The sequence below is a fragment of the Homo sapiens genome, chromosome 13 (assembly GCF_000001405.40).
Source record: "Homo sapiens chromosome 13, GRCh38.p14 Primary Assembly".
In the NCBI taxonomy this organism is placed as follows: Eukaryota; Metazoa; Chordata; class Mammalia; order Primates; family Hominidae; genus Homo; species Homo sapiens.
Window position 1 is genome coordinate 26720504 of NC_000013.11, and position 18430 is coordinate 26738933.

General features: G+C 45.5%; 1 annotated feature.

Moving 5' to 3' along the window:
* Positions 915–1004: an enhancer, noted in NCBI's record as "active region_7493". NCBI's record gives its function as "activates an Ori minimal core promoter by ATAC-STARR-seq in GM12878 lymphoblastoid cells {active_cell/tissue: GM12878}" and the evidence as "EXISTENCE:reporter gene assay evidence [ECO:0000049][PMID:35858748]".

The window sequence follows — 18430 nt, forward strand, 5'->3', positions numbered from 1 at the left end:
AACACACATCTTTTTAAGGATGCTGTGACACGCTGACCATATGTTGAGCTGTTAAACAAGTCTGGAAAATTTTCAAAGGATAAAAATTAGATGTTTTTTTCACTTCAATGCAATTAAGCTAAAAATCAATAACAAAAAGATAACCAGAAAATTATTTTGTGTTTGGAAATTAAGCAGTACTTTTCTAAAGAACCTATGGGACAAAGAAGAAATCATAATGGAAATTAGAAAATATTTTAAAATACATTATTATGAAATATTGTATATCAAAACTTGTGGAATGCAGTTAAAGCCATGCTTGGCAAAAAATTATAACCTTGAAGTTTATATTAGAAAAGAATGAAGGCTAAAAATCAATGTGCTAAGAATCTGTCATAAAGTCTGGGGGGAGAAGAACAGGAAAATCAAAGAAAGTAGAAGTAAGGATACACAAGGATACAAGCCAAAAATAATGACTTAGAAAAATTAACACACAAAGGAGGCTGAAGAGGGCCAAAGAGCGGTTCTTTTAGGAGGTGAATGAAGCTCAACTCCCTGGCAAGCCTGTTAGGGGAAAAAAGGAACTAAAAAGCTAAAATAATAATCAGTGGTCAGGCACTATGAAGCAAATTTTTGCTAATGATCTTACCATCATTAAAAAGATAAGTGAATTATGCCAATAGGTTTGAAAATGTAGCGGAAATGGACAAAGTCCTAGACTCATAGCAGGGGTTCTGCAATGTTTATTACGATTGAGACCTTAACAGTTTAGACCCTGTATTGCTCATCCCATGCTATCCTCCGGAACTCGGTCTTGGAAATGCCAGACTAATGTGCATGAGAGAGAGAAGCTTAGTGCAAAATTCAGCAGGCAGGAAGGATGTGGTCACCATCTGACAAGATCCTCAGGAGGCTTAGAGGCAGGAGGGGCCATCTGCCCTGCCCCCTGTGGCCTCATGGCTGCATCCGCCGCTCCCTGGATGGGGCTCGGGGGTACCTGGGAGCATGATCCGTCCTTATACTCCTCTCACATCAGTATCTAAACTCAGAGTTTACAGAACAAGGGAAACTGCCTAGAATGAGGCTTGTATTCCTAGGGGCAAGGGCTTTCGCCCACCCTCACACAGTTTAATGTCACCTGCCTCCAGATTGTGTTAACACAGAGCCTCTGCACAGCCTCCTTCGCGGTGGCCTCAGACATTTCCGGAATTAGTTGTCAGAGGGTAGGCCCCCGCGCAATGCCAGCTTGCAGAGTGCAGAACTGGGAGCCACCAGGACATTGTGTTTCTCCAAAGAGCGGTGCAGGCCCGGGCAGCGACCTCTTGCTGTTCAGCAAAAAGCAAACATTCAAAGCAGTCCCTGCGGGCTCAGCGTGGCGACCATGAGCGCACGTTTGTGTGCCGGCTGACTCTCCTCCTCGCATAGGAGGACCAGGGCGCATTGGTGGCGGTGGGAGTAGGCACTCTGCAGAGCTGCTGGCCCGAGCTCCACATTCAGCCTCAAGTCGCACTCTTTGTACTGGATGTTTTCAGAAAAACAGCAGACCATGCCCTAACAGCCTTAATGAGCCTTGTAACTGCATCTGCTCTTAACAGTAAAAATTAGTGCTGAACAATGGGACCCTCACTCATGGGGCTACTGTGGTCTGGCAGTCAGGACGGGTGGGTGGTCCTCGCTGCCACTCACCCACCCGAGAAGGGGACTATTTTTAGACTATGCTTCATTTTCCCCTAAATACAGTATTTAAACCACCGTGGTCAGAGTTGGTCTGCTTTTACAGCCCTCTACTTTTTATTTTCATCTCCATAGTGAGTGAGGGATATTGATTCTTTCCCAAATGCTCACTCTAGTACGAAACGTTCTTTTTTCCTTTTCTTTTCTTTTTTTTCCAATTCATGTAAAACAGTAATATAGGAACACCTGCTATGTGCAAGTCATATCAAAGTACCTGATTTTTATATCTCCTCATCCAGGGGTGCCTCCTCCATCAGTGGAGGCTGGTGGGTTCAGAGTGGTGCATGATACAGATCTTTGCAGTAAGAAGAGCTGCACTGAAATCCAGCCTCTGCCACCTCCCCATTGCGGGGCCTTGGATGCATCACCAAAGGCTCTGAAATCCGCTTTGCTCATCTGCAATGGATGGATGTAATTGCTTTAGTGAGTTACAATCTTGGTTGAGCTGTAAACAAGAGGGTCTTGCTTTCCTTATTTGCCCCTCGAACTGTGCTTTGTGAACCTTCGTTTTCTACTGCTTCAAGAAATGACAGCTTGGCCAGATTCCATATCACTTCACCAACTTTCTTTTTTTAAATTCTTAATAGAATTTTGAAAAGAGTATTTTTAGGTTTTCAGAAAAATTGCACAGAAAGTACAAAGAATTCCCATATACACTCTCTGCACCCACACAGTTTCCCTGTGATTAACATCTTGCAAGTGTGATACATTTGTTACAATTGAGGAGCCAATATTGATGAATTATTATTAACCAGAGTTAAGAGTTTTCATAGGTTTCACTCTTGGGGTTTTACATTTTATGGGTCGTGGCAAACACATAATGACAAGTATCCACCATTATAGTGTACAGAACAGCCTCACTGCCCTAAAAATCCCCTGTTCTCCCTCTCCCTCTCCCTCTCCCTCTCCCTCTCGGTCTCCCTCTCCCCACGGTCTGCCTCTCCCCACGGTCTCCCTCTCCCTCTCTTTCCACGGTCTCCCTCTGATGCCGAGCCAAAGCTGGACTGTACTGCTGCCATCTCGGCTCACTGCAACCTCCCTGCCTGATTCTCCTGTCTCAGCCTGCCGAGTGCCTGCGATCCGCCACGCCTGACTGGTTTTCCTATTTTTTTGGTGGAGACGGGGTTTCGCTGTGTTGGCCGGGCTGGTCTCCAGCTCCTAACCGCGAGTGATCCGCCAGCCTCGGCCTCCGGAGGTGCCGGGATTGCAGACGGTATCTGGTTCACTCAGTGCTCGATGGTGCCCAGGCTGGAGTGCAGTGGCGTGATCTCGGCTCGCTACAACCTCCACCTCCCAGCCGCCTGCCTTGGCCTCCCAAAGTGCCCAGAGTGCAGCCTCTGCCCGGCCGCCACCCCGTCTAGGAAGTGAGGAGCGTCTCTGCCTGGCCGCCCATCGTCTGGGATGTGAGGAGCCCCTCTGCCTGGCTGCCCAGTCTGGAAAGTGAGGAGCGTCTCTGCCCGGCCGCCATCCCATCTAGGAAGTGAGGAGCGCCTCTTCCCGGCCGCCATCCCATCTAGGAAGTGAGGAGCATCTCTGCCCGGCCGCCCATCGTCTGAGATGTGGGGAGCGCCTTTGCCCCGCCGCCCCGTCTGGTATGTGGGGAGCGCCTCTGCCCGGCCGCGACCCCGTCTGGGAGGTGAGGAGCGTCTCTGCCCAGCCGCCCCATCTGAGAAGGGAGGAGACCCTCCACCTGGCAACCGCCCCGTCTGAGAAGTGAGGAGCCCCTCCGCCCGGCAGCCACCCCGTCTGGGAAGTGAGGAGCGTCTCCGCCCGGCAGCCGCCCCGTCCGGGAGGGAGGTGGGGGGGTCAGCCCCCCGCCCGGCCAGCCGCCCCGTCAGGGAGGTGAGGGGCGCCTCTGCCCAGCCATCCCTACTGGGAAGTGAGGAGCCCCTCTGCCCGGCCAGCCGCTCCGTCCGGGAGGGAGGTAGGGGGTCAGCCCCCCGCCCGGCCAGCCGCCCCGTCCGGGAGGGAGGTGGGGGGGGTCAGCCCCCCGCCCGGCCAGCCGCCCCGTCCGGGAGGTGAGGGGCGCCTCTGCCCGGCCACCCCTTCTGGGAAGTGAGGAGCCCCTCTGCCCGGCCACCACCCCGTCTGGGAGGTGTGCCCAACAGCTCATTGAGAACGGGCCATGATGACAATGGCGGTTTTGTGGAATAGAAAGCGGGGAAAGGTGGGGAAAAGATTGAGAAATCGGATGGTTGCCGTGTCTGTGTGGAAAGAAGTAGACATGGGAGACTTTTCATTTTGTTCTGTACTAAGAAAAATTCTTCTGCCTTGGGATCCTGTTGATCTGTGACCTTACCCCCCAACCCTGTGCTCTCTGAAACATGTGCTGTGTCCACTCAGGGTTAAATGGATTAAGGGCGGTGCAAGATGTGCTTTGTTAAACAGATGCTTGAAGGCAGCATGCTCCTTAAGAGTCATCACCACTCCCTAATCTCAAGTACCCAGGGACACAAACACTGCGGAAGGCCTCAGGGTCCTCTGCCTAGGAAAACCAGAGACCTTTGTTCACTTGTTTATCTGCTGACCTTCCCTCCACTATTGTCCTATGACCCTGCCAAATCCCCCTCTGTGAGAAACACCCAAGAATGATCAATTAAAAAAAAAAAAATCCCCTGTTCTCCACCTATGCATTCCTCCCTCCCACCAACCCCTGGTAACCATCGAACTTTTTTACTGTCTCCATAGTTTTGCCTTTTCCAGAATGTGTTATAGTTGGAATCATTCAGGTTGGCTTCTTTCCCTTAGCAATATGCTTTTCAGGTTCTTCCTGAAAAGAGAAAGCCACTATGTCTTCTGGTAGCTTGATTGCTCATTTTTTTAAATTGATGAATACTATTTAATTGTCTGGTTGTATCACCATTTGCTTATCATTCACCTACTGAAAAACATCTTGGTTGCTTTCAGTTTGGTGTAATTATTAATAAAGCTACTATAAATATTTGTGTGCAGGTTTCTGTAAAGACATAGGTTTTCAACTGAATTGGGTTAATATCTAGGAGCACAATTGCTGGATCATATAAGATTATGTTTAACATTGCGAGAAACTTCCAAACTGTCTTCTAAAGTGGTTGTCCCATTTTGCATCCTTACCAGCTGTGAATGTTAATTCCTGTTGCCCCATATCCTCACTAGCATTTGGTGATGTCAGTGTTCTGGATTAAGGCCATTCTAATAGATGTGTAGTGGTATCTTATTTTAATTTGCAATTCTCTTATGGTGTGATGTTGAACATCTTTTCATATGCTTATTTGCCATCTGTGTATCTCCTTTGGTGAGATGTCTGCTCATGTCCTTTGCCCATTTTTAAACTGAGTTGTTTCCTATTGTTAAGTTTTGATGGTTCCTTGCATATTTTGGACACAGGTGCTTGTCTTCTCAGTCACATACAGTGTCTCTTGCAGAACAGAAGTTTTTAATTTTTGTTGTTGTTGTTGTTGTTGAGATGGAGTCTCACTCTGTCAGCCAAGCTAAGGCGCAGTGGCATGATCTTGGCTCACTGCAGCCTCTGCCTCCTGGGTTCAAGTGATTCTCCTGCCTCAGCCTCCCAAGTAGGTGGGACTACAGGCATGCACCACAACATCTGATTACTTTTTGTATTTTTAGTAGGGACGGGGTCTCACCATGTTAACCAGGCTGGTCTCAAACTCCTGACCTCAAGTGATCTGGCCTCCTCGGCCTCCCAAATTGCTGGGATTACAGGTGTGAGCCACTGCTCCCAGCCAGAAGTTTTTAATTTTAATGAAGTCCAACTTAACAATTTTTTTCTTTCATGGATTATGCTTTTGGTGATGTATCTAAAAGCTTACCACCAAGTCTAAGATTACCTAGATTTTCTCCTTTGGTATCCCACAGATGTTTTGTGTTTTGCATTTAGGTCTATGATTCCCTTTGAGTTAATTTTTGTGAGGTTCTGTGTCTAGATTCATTCTTTTGCCTGTGGGTGTCTAGTTGCTCCAGAGCCAATTGTTCAAAAGACTGTCTTTGCTCCATGGAACTGCCTTTGCTCCTTTGTCAAATGTCAGTTGACTCTGTTTGTGTGGACCTATTTCTGGGCTATGTTGAACGCCCGTTTCCTGACATGTAGGGAAATGACAATTTAGATTCCACTTTGCTCTTAAACAGTCTCACTTCAGTAGATATTTAACCCCGTTCTTGTTTGTTTATTGGTTTTGAAGCCCCTCCCTTCTCCCCCCACCATAGAGGCTACACCTGTGTAGTGATTTTGAGTGTGGTGGGAAAAGGTGGTGTGCTTTTTTGTTTTGAACCTTTTAATGAAGCCCAGTGAACATACAGAAAATTGCAGAAATTGAAATTAAATGTTTTTCTCAAACAACACATTTGTGTAACTAACACTCACATGGAGGAATGGCACAGTACCAAGGCCCCAGAAACCCCTTCGCCTCCTTTCCAGCCACTGCCTCCTGCCCTCAGGGCAGCCACGATCCTAATTTCCAACAGCTCAGACTAGTTCTACCTGGGTTTGCTGTTTTTATAAATATAATTACACGGTATATGTATTCTTGTGTCTAGCTTTTCTCAACATTATGTTTGTTGCTTATTTTTATTGCTATAGAGCAGGGCGTCCAATCTTTTGGCTTCCCCGGGCCACAGTCGAAGAAGAAGAATTGTCTGGGGCCACATGTAGAATACACTGATGCTAACAATAGCTGATGAGCTAAAAATAAATTGGAAAGAAAATCTCATAATATTTTAAGAAAGTTGACGAATTTGTGTTGGGCCGCATTCAAAGCCGTCCTGGGCCTCATGCGGCCTGGACAAGCTTGCTGTAGAGTATTGTAGGAGTCAGAAAACTTTATAAAGGGCCAAATAATGAATAGTTTAGGTTTTGCAAGCCACATGTGATCTTTGTCACATTTTCTTCCTCCTCCTCCTCCTCCTCTTCTTGTTCTCTTCTGTGAGGTTCAGAGATTAGTTACAACACTTTGAAAATACAAAAATGATTCTTAACTCTCAAGCTGTACAAAAACAGGCAATGAGCTGTAGCTTGCTAATCCCTAGAGTATTCCATCCTGCAAATATGGTTTATTTATCCACTGTACTCTTGGTGTGAATTTGGGTAGCGTCCCCTTTGGGGCTACTGTGAGTAGAGCTGCTATAAACATTCTGTTGCATGTCTTGTGTGTATTGGCTGTATTACTTGGGATGGGATTACTGGGTCACAGAATGTGCGTATTCCAGCTTTAGAAGGTATTCCAAGCAGTTTTCCAAAATTGTAACACTCTTGTAAGCAGCACATGAACATTCTGGTTGCTCCACGCTCTCACCAGGATTTTCCATCCTTTCCAGTGGGCCAGTTTTGTTGGGTGTATAGTGCTTTTTCATTATGGCTTTAATTTGCATTTCACCTTAATTTCCATTTTTCTAGGTTGAACACTGTTAAAATATGCTTGTTGTCCATTTGGATATCCTTTATGCAAAGACTTTTGCCCATTTTTTAATAACTTGCCTTTTTCTTATAGTTCCAGACTTTTTTTTTGTTTCCCTGAGAGCCTGATGCCAGCAACCATTCCCAGAGCCAATCTCTGTCTTTGTTAAGCAGGGTAGTTAGTCACAAGCAACAGAAACCAGTCTGGTTGGTCCTGTGTTAGTTCAAGGTGAAGGGGGAGATTTATTATAAGGCATTGACTCATGAAATTATGGAGGATGAGAAGTCTCAAGGTGTGTAGTTGGCAAGCTGGAGACCCAAGAGAGCCAATGGTACAGTTCTAGTCTCAGTGCCAACAGGTTTGAGACCCATGAGAGCTGATGTTTCAATTCAAGTCCAAAGGCAGGAAAGAAACAAGTGTTTTTCAAGGCCATCAGGCAGGAGGAACTCCCTACTTACTGATGGTGGGAGGGTTGGCCTTTTTGTTCTCTTCAGGTCTTCAGTTGACTAGATGGCACCCATCCAGGGACCCACCCACAATGGGAGAAAAAATCTGCCCTACTCTGTCTACTGGTTTAAATGTCAACCTCACCAAAAAATACCCTCACAGAAACACCTAGAATAATGTTTGACCAGATGTCTGGATGTTCTGTGGCACAGACACATAAAAACCATCACAAAGCCCAATTCTGGGACTTCAAGAAATAGGAGCAGGCAGATAAAGAGCCGGAGAGGCAGGCTCAAGGTTTGTGTAGCAGGAAAATGCCCATAATTGCTCTGCAGAACTCTGTGCTTGAGCACACGACGCTGCAGGAGCCCCGTGGTGTCACGAGCCCTGCTGGTCCACCTGCTGCGCCGGAAACTGAGTGAAGCTGTCCTGGCCCCCACAACTCTGCCAAACCCGGTTCAACAGGATCCTTGCTTCTCAGCACCACAGCAGGGGAGTGATATTCTAGCATCCTTGGTTTTATACTGAGAGGTGGAAATTCATCTAAATAGTGAAGAGACATTCAGGAATTGGTCGTCAAAAGGGGCAACATTGTCTGTTGCATGTGTCTTTCACCCCTTCTCCCACTCACATGGTGTTTTGGAGTCTGGCTACATCTTGGCCCTGAATTCCAGCTTCCCTGTTTGGGGCTGTGCTTTAGTGTAGGTCCACACTTAACAGTTGTGGATGAGTACAGAGCCAAGTCCAGGTTCAAGTTTAGCTGTGATTCACACGTTTCAAAATTGGGGTGGGTGTGGCTTGATGTAGTAGGGCTGATGTGTTTCGCACCTCTCAGGATTGTTCAGCCTGGGGGAGGAGGTCAGTGAGGCCTTCCCCTCGAGGGGTTTAGCCTCTGATTTTTCACTTGCCTCATTCTGCCCATTCTCAGCAACACTTCACATGGTTATCTGCTCTGTAAAGCACGCTTGTTTTACTTATCCTTGACTCAAGGGAGAAGGATCTGGGATTTCTGACAGTTCTCAGCATGGGGATTTGACAGCTAAGATGGACGCTGTAGCTCCATATCACATATACATTCCAGCCAGGTAGAATAAAGAAGAGGAAATGGGGTGTGTTTCCAAGTACACTAAATTTCTAAGTAGCTCTAGAAAACATCTCTGCTTATGTTCCATTGGCCACATTAAGTGCAAGGGATATGGAGAAGCATTGTTTTTATTTTGAGTGGTTATGTACTCAGCTAAAATGTGAGGTTTAATACTAATGGAAGGGGAGAACTCATATTAGGGGAACAAAAGCTTGTCACAGGATCTGGAACAATTTTAGTTTTATTATTATTATATTTATTTATTTATTTGGAGACGGAGTTTCCCTCTTGTTGTCCAGGCTGGAGTGCAATGGTGGGATCTCGGCTCACTGCAACCTCTGCCTCCTGGGTTCAAGCAATTCTCCTGCCTCAGCCTCCCGAGTAGCTAGGATTGCAGGCATGCGCCACCATGCCCGGATAATTTTGTATTTTTAGTAGAGATGGAGTCTCTCCATGTTGGTCAGGCTGGTCTCAAACTCCCTACCTCAGGTGATCCACCCACCTCAGCCTCCCAAAGTGCTGGGATTACAGGTGTGAGCCACCATGCCTGGCCTTAATTTTATTATTAAAACAAAGGTGTGGAGGACATCAGGAGGCCCATTTCATCTATGTTCACAAGGCTGACCCACAGTATAAGTGAGACCAAGTAAAGTCACAGTGGTGGATGAGGAGGTTTGGGGATTATTCATCATTTTGGACACTTTGTGCAACTGATCATCTTCAAAGGCTGGTGCCTAAGAATTGAATGTCTAGAAAAGAAATATAGCTTAGAAAAGGTACAGCCTAAGGCTGATTCCTTTATTTTCTAATCCCACATTACCTCTAAAGAATGCTTTTTTCTATGGCCACTGTCTTACCAAAATGAAAATGGTTATCTGAAAACCAAACTACAAAGGTACCCTTTGGAAAATACATTAATGTAGCAGAGATAAAATTCTAAAAAAGCATGGGTCGTTTTATGAAAAAATGATATGTAGGCACACTTTACATGTCTATTTCCCCATGATGGCCTCAAGTTTATTTCTATACCATCCCTGAAGATTGAGACTCAGTGAAAGTTTGTAAACCCTTCCCTAAAGCAAGCCCATATCATAAAGCATGACTGAGCTCTTTGATTCTACTTAAGAATTCCCAGGAAGATGGATGAGAAGAACCTTGCATACATCATGGCAGCCAGCTTAATTAAATTCCCATTAGGGGTTTTGGTTTTCGCTCAAAGTTACTCTTCAGGGCCAGTTCTTGGGTCTCACTCTCTCTGCATTACCCTTTCTTCCACCCAAATTTTAAGCCCTCTGCCCTATGCATAGCAACACATCTCTGCTTGCTTTTTAAAATTTTGTATAAATTTATGGCATAAAAGTGCAGTTTTGTTGCATGAGTATATCGCACAGTGGTAAAGTCAGGGCTTTCAGCGTATTCATCAACTGAATAACAGACATTCTACTCATTAAGTAATTTATCACCCCTCACCTTCCTTCCAGCACCCCACCCTTCAGAGTCTCCAGTGTCTACCATTTTATACTCTATGCCTGTATGTACATATTCTAGCTCCCACTTATAAATAGTAACATGCATTATTTGTCTTTTAGTTTCTGAATTGTTTCACTTAAGATAATGGCCCTCAGCTCCATTTATGTTGCTGCAAAAGGCATGACTTCATTCTTTTTTTATGGCTAAATAGTACTCCATTGTGTATATGTATATATACCACATTTTCTTTATCCAGTCATCCATTGATGAACATTTAGGTTGATTCCATATCTTCGCTATTGTGAATAATGCTGCAATAAACATATAAGTGCAGGTGTCTTTTTGATGGAATGATTTCTTTTCCTTTGAGTAGATACTCAGTATCTACTGGAATTGTAAGATCAAATGGTAGCTTCATTTTTAGTTCTTTGAGAAATCTCCATACTGTTTTCCATAAAGGTTGTACTAACCACATTTAATAATAGCCATTCTGACTGTTGTAAGATGATATCTCATTGTGGTTGTAATTTGCACTTCTCTAATGATTGCCCATTTTCTCATGTTTGTTGACCATTTGTATGTCCTCTTTTGAAAAATGTCTATTTATGTCCCCCTTTTAAATGGGATTATTTGTGGATTTTTCTTTATTGTTGTTGTTGAGTTGTTAGAGTTCCTTGTAAATTCTGGGTATTACTTCCTGTCAAATGCATATGTGCAAATATTTTCTCCCATTCTGCAACTTGTCTGTTCATTCTGTTGATTATTTCTTTTGCTGTGCAGAAGCTTTTAAATTTCATTAAGTCTAATTTGTCTGCTTTTCTTCCTTGTGCTTTTGAGGACTTAGTCATGAATTCTTTGCCTAGACCAATGTCCAGAAGAGTTTTCCCTAGATTATCTTCTAGGATTTTTATAGTTTCAGGTCTTACATTTAAGACTTTAATCCATCTTGAGTTGATTTGTGTATACAGTGAGGGATAGGGGTCCAGTTTTATTCTTCTGCATATGGCTATTCAATTTTCCCAGCACCATTTATTGAAAAGGATGTCCTTTCTCCAGTGCCTCTGTCTACCTTTTAAATCTAGGCATTCACAGGCTTCTGAACAGGCAATCATTCACAAAACCGAAGCAGCTGTCATGGTAGAGAAGACTTTTCTGCAGGGAAAAAGATTCCCTCCAGATGATTATAACATGTCAAAACCCAGCCCTAGAAAAATTATGATGATTATTGTTGCTATACAATTTTACAAACAGATTTCTTGCCTCTTCCTTCTTACTGCATGTCTTAGTTCTGTTTTCACTCACCTTCTGATTTCTCCAGAAACTTGTTCCTTTAATTATTTCTTCCCCTGTATCTTCAGCCCTTCCTCTCACTGGCTCATTTCGATCATTATTATTATTACTTATTTTCTGAGATGAGGTCCCAATCTGTTGCCTGGGCTAGAGTGCAATTAACGTGATCATGGCTCACTGCAGCCTCTACCTCTTGGGCTCAAGCAGTTCTCCTGCCTCGCCTCCCGAGTAACTGAGACAACAGGTGCACCACCATGCCTGGCTAATTTTTTCTTTTTTGTAGAGATGGAGATCTCACTGTGTTGTCCAGTGGTCTTGAACTCCTGGGATTAAGCAATCCTCCCACCTTGGCCTCACAAAGTGTTTGGATTACAGGAGTGAGTCACTGCACCCAGCCTCCCACCATTTTTAAATGTTCAGGTTTCTCCCATCATTTTGTTTATTTAAAAATAAACAAAAATCACTTTACCTTCTCCTATGACTTCTTGCAGTCATCATCAAGTTGAGTCTCTGACATAGAGCTTCCCAGAGTTCTTTGCATTTTAGAGACATTATAGGGGGACCCACCCAAAAGTGTGAAGAATATAGAGACTCTCAGACACTGTACCAACCAACCAGAGGTGATGACTGTTTGAAAGCCCCATCGGTTCCCCTAGGGAGTATGTATAAGACCAGCTGAAAGGCTCCAGAAAAATTAAAGGTGCCCCAGCTTTGTCAGAGGTCCCTGGCGGAAGGGGATTAAAATCCTCATTTTGAGCAAACACATTTATTATTACCTTTTCTCAGAAACTTTTCCAGCTACACGAGCTTACAACTTTCTGTCTTGCTTTTCTGAGACAGAAAAAAAAAGCCTGTTGCCCAGGCTAGAGTGCAGTGGCACGATATCGGTTCACTGCAACCTCCACCTCCTGGGCTCAAGTGATTCTTGTGCCTCAGCCTCCCAAGTAGCTGGGATTACAGACATGTGCCACCACACCCAGCTAATTTTTTGTATTTTTAGTAGGGACAGATTTTCGCCATGTTGACCAGGCTGGTCTCAAGCTCCTGACTTCAAGTGATCCACCTGCCTTAGCCTCCTAAAGTGCTGAGATTACAGGCCTGAGCCACCAGGCCCAGCTCTGTCTTGCTATTGAATGAAGAGTTCCTTGCTACTCCCTTAGCTGTATTGAACACCACGGTTATGACTACCCAGTCATGCTGTACTAAACATGAACTCCTCAAGGGCAAAGCCAGGGGATTCACAGAGCATTTGCAGAATTGCATCCAAAGGATTCATCACATCTAGCATGTTTGTGTGGCTGTGTGGGTGGCCCGTGGAGGATCTTTATACACACCTTGATTTTCTTTTCTTTTACTGAGAGACTAAATATACAAGTAGACAATGGACAGACCATGTATAAAAATGGAACTCTGATCCACAATGTGCAGAAACCAGCCTGAGAAACCAACCCATGATCCACAGTAACCAAACCAGGAAGCCAACTGTCTACAAGTCAGACTTGTAGGAAGTCAGACCACTGTCCCTAGCAAACAGCCCAGAAAGCCAAACAATAAGTCCTATAACCATTGGTCCCAAGTGGTCAGGACTTGATTAATGACTGGTAGCTTCCCTAATTTTTGTCCCTGCTTCCAACTTAAGACCAACCAGAGAAAGCCAAATACTGGCCCCTTTGACTAATCTCATAGGATACCCCTTCTAGTTAGCTGCCTCCAGCTTCCTCACGCCAACAGCCTCCAATCAGGGCACACCCGAAGCCTTCCCTTTTTCCCACTGTGAAGCTCTCCCACTCCTCTGCCTGCCTTTGAGTCTTGGCCAACCGCAAATGATGGTGGCCGACTCCTTGCTGGAGCAAACTCTGCATAAATGGCCTTTGCCTGCTCTCCTTTGTTGGTCTTCATTGATTTCCACATTTCTCAGTACTATAGGCTTGTGATTGTTCTACATCTTTCCATAAAAGCTGCCTTTTTAAACTCTGATGGCTGCCTTGCAGGCCATCGAATGGAAAGAACGTAATCTATTCAGCCCTAATTCTACTAGTGGTCATGCAGTTTATTTCCCCCTCACCTTTTTTAAATAATTGCAAACAATTCTGGAATAAGTATCATTGTACAACTTCACACATGTATGAATCTGTCCACAGGGTAGAGAGGGGGACTTGCTGGGTGGTGGAAGTGGCCTTATTTATTCAAAGACGTTCCCTGAATGCCTACTGGTCAGGTCAGACTTCCAGGAAATGGACTTTGGGGTGAAGGTTTGCATGTAGGATGTTGCAGAAGAGCGCTCTGAGCCACAGTACCTGTGAAGAGAGCAGCACAGAGCAGAGAGTTATCCTCTCCAAATTATCCTGAATTGAGGCAAAGGACTGGGCCCTGGTCCCTACCCTTTCTCACTGACCAGTCATTAGATGGGGGCTACCCAGGGAGCAAGGCCAGTTCCCGGGGAGAGACTCCGCCATCAGTAGCTGGGGAATGCTAGCCTCAGTCTTCAGTGGTGGGTCTGAGCAGTACAGGGCACACCAGCCATGCATCAGGCTGGGCACTCAGGACATTCTGCTCCCTGTCCTTGCAAAACTTACAGTCTTCTGGGAGACAGACATGTCACCAATTAAGGACAACCGAGTGTCATCTGGGCTGTGATGGGGGGAAGCCAGGGGCTAGAAGGGGCAAGACTCCAAATACATATTAGGATAACGTGTGGTAAATGTCTTCCTTCATATGAGGGCAAAACTCGGGCTGTCTATGTCCCACCAGTCTATTCCCGTGACCATTTGAAAAGGAATGGATGGACTTTGACAGCAACACTAAGTTCTGCCCTGGAAGGCGTGAGATCAGTTTGTCCCTAAGTTGCTGTGTGACTGTGTCCCCCTGTACCCAGAATAGTGTCAGGCACTAGGTGCTCAAAATGTACTTGAAGAATAACTCCTACGAGATAGGTACATTTATCAGCCCCACTTTACAGCAGTAAGTTTTTGGAGGGATATACATGGGTCAGATTCTGAAAGGTCTGTTCAACATCACCTCATAGGTGTTAGCTGTAGCCACAGCCTGGATTCAGGACTCACGTTTTAAGCAGCTCGATGGATGCAGACCATGGTCAATGTGCCAAAAGCAGTAGTGAATTTAGACGACACGTGGATGTAATGTATTACATCCATTGGATTTATGTATTTATTAATGTATTATGTCCATTGGATTTAGCAACAGCAAAACCGTCAGGGACCTCAGCAAGAGCTATGGGAGCAGCATGGCGGCTTCTCTGGATTTGCTAACCACTACATCTTAGAAAACCAAAATCGTGCATGAAGCCCCCATCCTGCTCCAATTCGAGCCATTTCAACAACTGCTTGCATATTTAGAAGATCATGAAAGCATATTCAATCCACAAATTTGCAGCAAGACTCTGGAAAAGACACGCTTTATGTCCTCAGCTGCCATGAGGCCCCTTCATCCCCACCCCGCTTCCCAACCCCAAGCCCCTGCCTCCAGCTCACTGGGCTTCTCCATTTTTTTCTTCCCCCTCCTGCCAGCCTCCCCACTTCTCCAATTCTGTCACAAAAGATACTCTTCTGGGCTAGGGGTAGGGGAGAAGGAGGACTTGAGTGAACGGAATTAAATTCTTTTTGGCCAGGGCAGGACGAGAGAAGAAAAACGCCATGAAGAAACCTTGTGTCCTACACATCACAGCACTGATCCCACCTTAGGTGTGGAGTTTGGGATAGTGCCTGAAAAGCGCATCGCCAAGATCAGCAGCATGCCTTTCTCAACATTCAGCGCAGCCTCTCCCACCTCCTCCTGGGGTCTGATCCTGTGAGTACCCACGATTGCTCTGCCTGTGGAAGCTCTGCCTGTGAAAACAGTCTTGTTTTCACTAATGCACAAATCCATCCTTCCTTCTGTTCCAGGAGTTTCAGAAATAACTCATGTTTCCGTGCAACCTGCCACCGTGTGTCCTGAGTAAGCTGTTACCGACAATACATGCTAACGCTTGAATTATTTAAACCCGTGTAAAACAGATTCAAGGTTATCTCCAGAGTGACTGTCATTCTCACTTGCTTTCTTGAGTGACATTGAAATGGGAGGAGTTACATCCTCCGTTTCTGTAATGGCTCAGGACTGTGTTTCACCTGGGAATACCACTCACTGCGGGTGTGAGCTGGGGTTCGAATTCTCTTTGACCTCAAGACGGTCTCATGTGGTACTCTCTACATCGAAAACACTGCCTTTCAACTGACCACCACAATGAAACCTTGGCTTTGTCAGAAAAAAAAAACTTTTAATGGCAAATATGGGCTTAGACCAATCTAAGACCCTGCACACTCCGTGTCCTATGTGATGTGGTGGCAGAGAAGCTATCTCGCAGGCATGCTGTCACAAGTGGAACCTCAACGAGTGTCATTAGTAGACTGTCAGTGAAGTTCAGCTTTGAAATTTTATGAGGGCCACACTGTGTGCAAAATTACACATGTACACTTTGGCCAACAAAAATTCAAAATCCACATTAACAACTGAATTTCAGCCAAAGAAGATGCTTTGGAAAATAAAACTGCTTATCCTCTCTGATGAAGAGACTAGTTTTATAATAATATGCTCTTCCCTGCATCCACCAACTCTATTTCCTCCTGACACTGTTTGTTCCTCGCTGGCCATTTCCAACCCAGGAGAGAGGTTCCTGAGCTGGACTTTGGTGGCTCTCCAAGCTCCAGGCAAGCGGCTTCCTATTCTTCCTAAAAGAACCCACAGGCCTTTAATGTCTCAGAGGCTGGAGACCCAGGAAACCCACCCAGTGGCCATCAGACCTGCTTGGTCCATGCCATGCTGGTGGTTAGAGGGGACATGGGTGGGAAGTGCAGGGGCCAGGACAGCCATGGGATGTAACAGAAGTATAGTCAGGGGGCTTGTGTGGGCTTAAGCTGAGGGAAATTCTTTTGTGTCTTCATAGCAGGTGATACATTTTATTAAACCAGATGATTGGGACTCAAAGTCATTTTCTCACCAGCTGCTATGAAACTGTTCCCTGATGAGATGTTTTGGAAGGTGAATGTTTCCATAAACTCCTTAAGATTAGGAACAGAGGCTGAGTCCAGGGGCTTTGGGTCAGCTGCTGCCTGCCAGAGAAAGCTGGTGGTGCTGAGATGAGCAAAGAAAAGAGTTTATTTCAGAAAGAGGTGTGACAGTTGATTGAATCACCTGGAGAGAAGGGCACAGGGGTGGGCAGAGATGAGGTTTAGAGGAGCAGCTGCCCAAGGAGGATTTGGGAGTGAGGTGACTCATTGAACCCTGAACTCTTCCCTTGACCTCACAAATGTTGTGTAAGCCAAAGTGTGCCACAATATGATCGGAGTGACAGCTGACAACAGGACTAAGATTTCTGTCAGGCTTGCAAGAGAACAGCTGATAATCTGGGTTGCATTGATGCTTTAAAGTGCTTCAAGTACAGATTGTACCTTAGGTTAAGGTTAGAGTACCTTGGGGACTATGTATCTCCCTGGTTGCCACATAAGCTTAGGAGGCTAGCATATCTGGGCTCAAGCTCTAGTTCTACTGTCTTTAGTCCATGATGTGGTATGGCTGTGTCCCCACCCAAATCTCATCTCGAATTCCCATGTGTTGTGGGAGGGGCCTGGTGGGAGGTAATTGAATCATGGGGGCAGGTCTCTCCTGTGCAGCGCTTATGATAGTGAATAAGTCTCATGAGATCTCTTGGTTCTATAAGGGGGAGTTTCCTTTCACAAACTCTCTCTTTGCCTGCTGCCATCCATTTAAGATGTGACTTGCTCCTTCTTGCCTTCCACCATGATTGTGAGGCCTCCCCTAGCCATGTGGAACTGTGAGTCCATTAAACCTTTTCCTGTATAAGTTACCCAGTCTTGGGTATGTCTTTATCAGCAGTGTGAAAATGAACTAATATAGTAAATTGGTACCAACAGGGTGGGACACTGCTGAAAAGATACCAGAAAATGTGGAAGCGACTTTCGGACTGGGTAACAGGTAGAGGCTGGAAGAGTTTGAAGGGCTCAGAAGAAGTCAGGAAAATGTGGGACAATTTGGATCTCCCTAGAGACTTGTTGAATGGCTTTGGCCAAAATGCTAAAAATGATATGGACAATGAAATCTAGGCTGAGGTGGACACAGATGGAGTTGAGGAACTTGTTGGGAACTGGAGTAAAGGTGATTCATGCTATGTTTTAGCAAAGAGACTGGTGGCATTTTGACCCTGCCCTGGAGATTTGTGGAACTTTGAATTTGAGGGAGATTATTTAAAGTGTCTGGGGGAAGAAATTGCTAAGCAGCAAAGCATTCAAGAGGTGACTTGGGTGCTGTTAAAGGCATTCAGTTTTAAAAGGAAACAGAACATAAAAGTTCAGAAAATATGCAGCCTGAGGATGCCATAGAAAAAGAAAAACCTATTTTCTAAGGAGAAATTCAATCCAGCTGCATAAATTTGCATAAGTAACGAGGAGCCAAATGTTAATTGCCAAGACAATGGGGAAAATGTTTCCAGGGCATGTTAGAGAACTTTGAGGCAGCCCCTCCCATCACAGGCTTGGAGGCCTAGAAGGAAAAAAATGGTTTCATGGGCTGGACCCAGGGTCCCTGTGCTGTGTGCAGCCTAGGGGCTTGGTGCCCTGCATCCCGGCCTCTCCACGTATGGCTTAAAGGGGCCAATGCAGAGCTCAGGCTTCAGAAGGTGCAAGCCCCAAGCCTTGGCAGCTTCCACATGGTGTTGAGCCTGTGAGTGCACTGAAGTCAAGAATTGGGATTTGGGAACCTCCGTCTATATTTCAGAAGATGTATGGAAATGTCTGGATGCCCAGGCAGAAGTTTGCTGCAGGGATGGGGCCCTCATGGAGAACCTCTGCTAGGGCAGTGCAGAAGGAAAATGTGGAATCAGAGCCCCCACACAGAGTCCCTACTGGGGCACTGCCTAGTGGAGCTATGAGAAGAGGGCCAGAGTCCTCCAGACCCCAGAGTGGTAGATCCATTGAAAGCTTACATTGTGCACCTGGAAAAGCCATAGACACTCAATGCCAGCCCA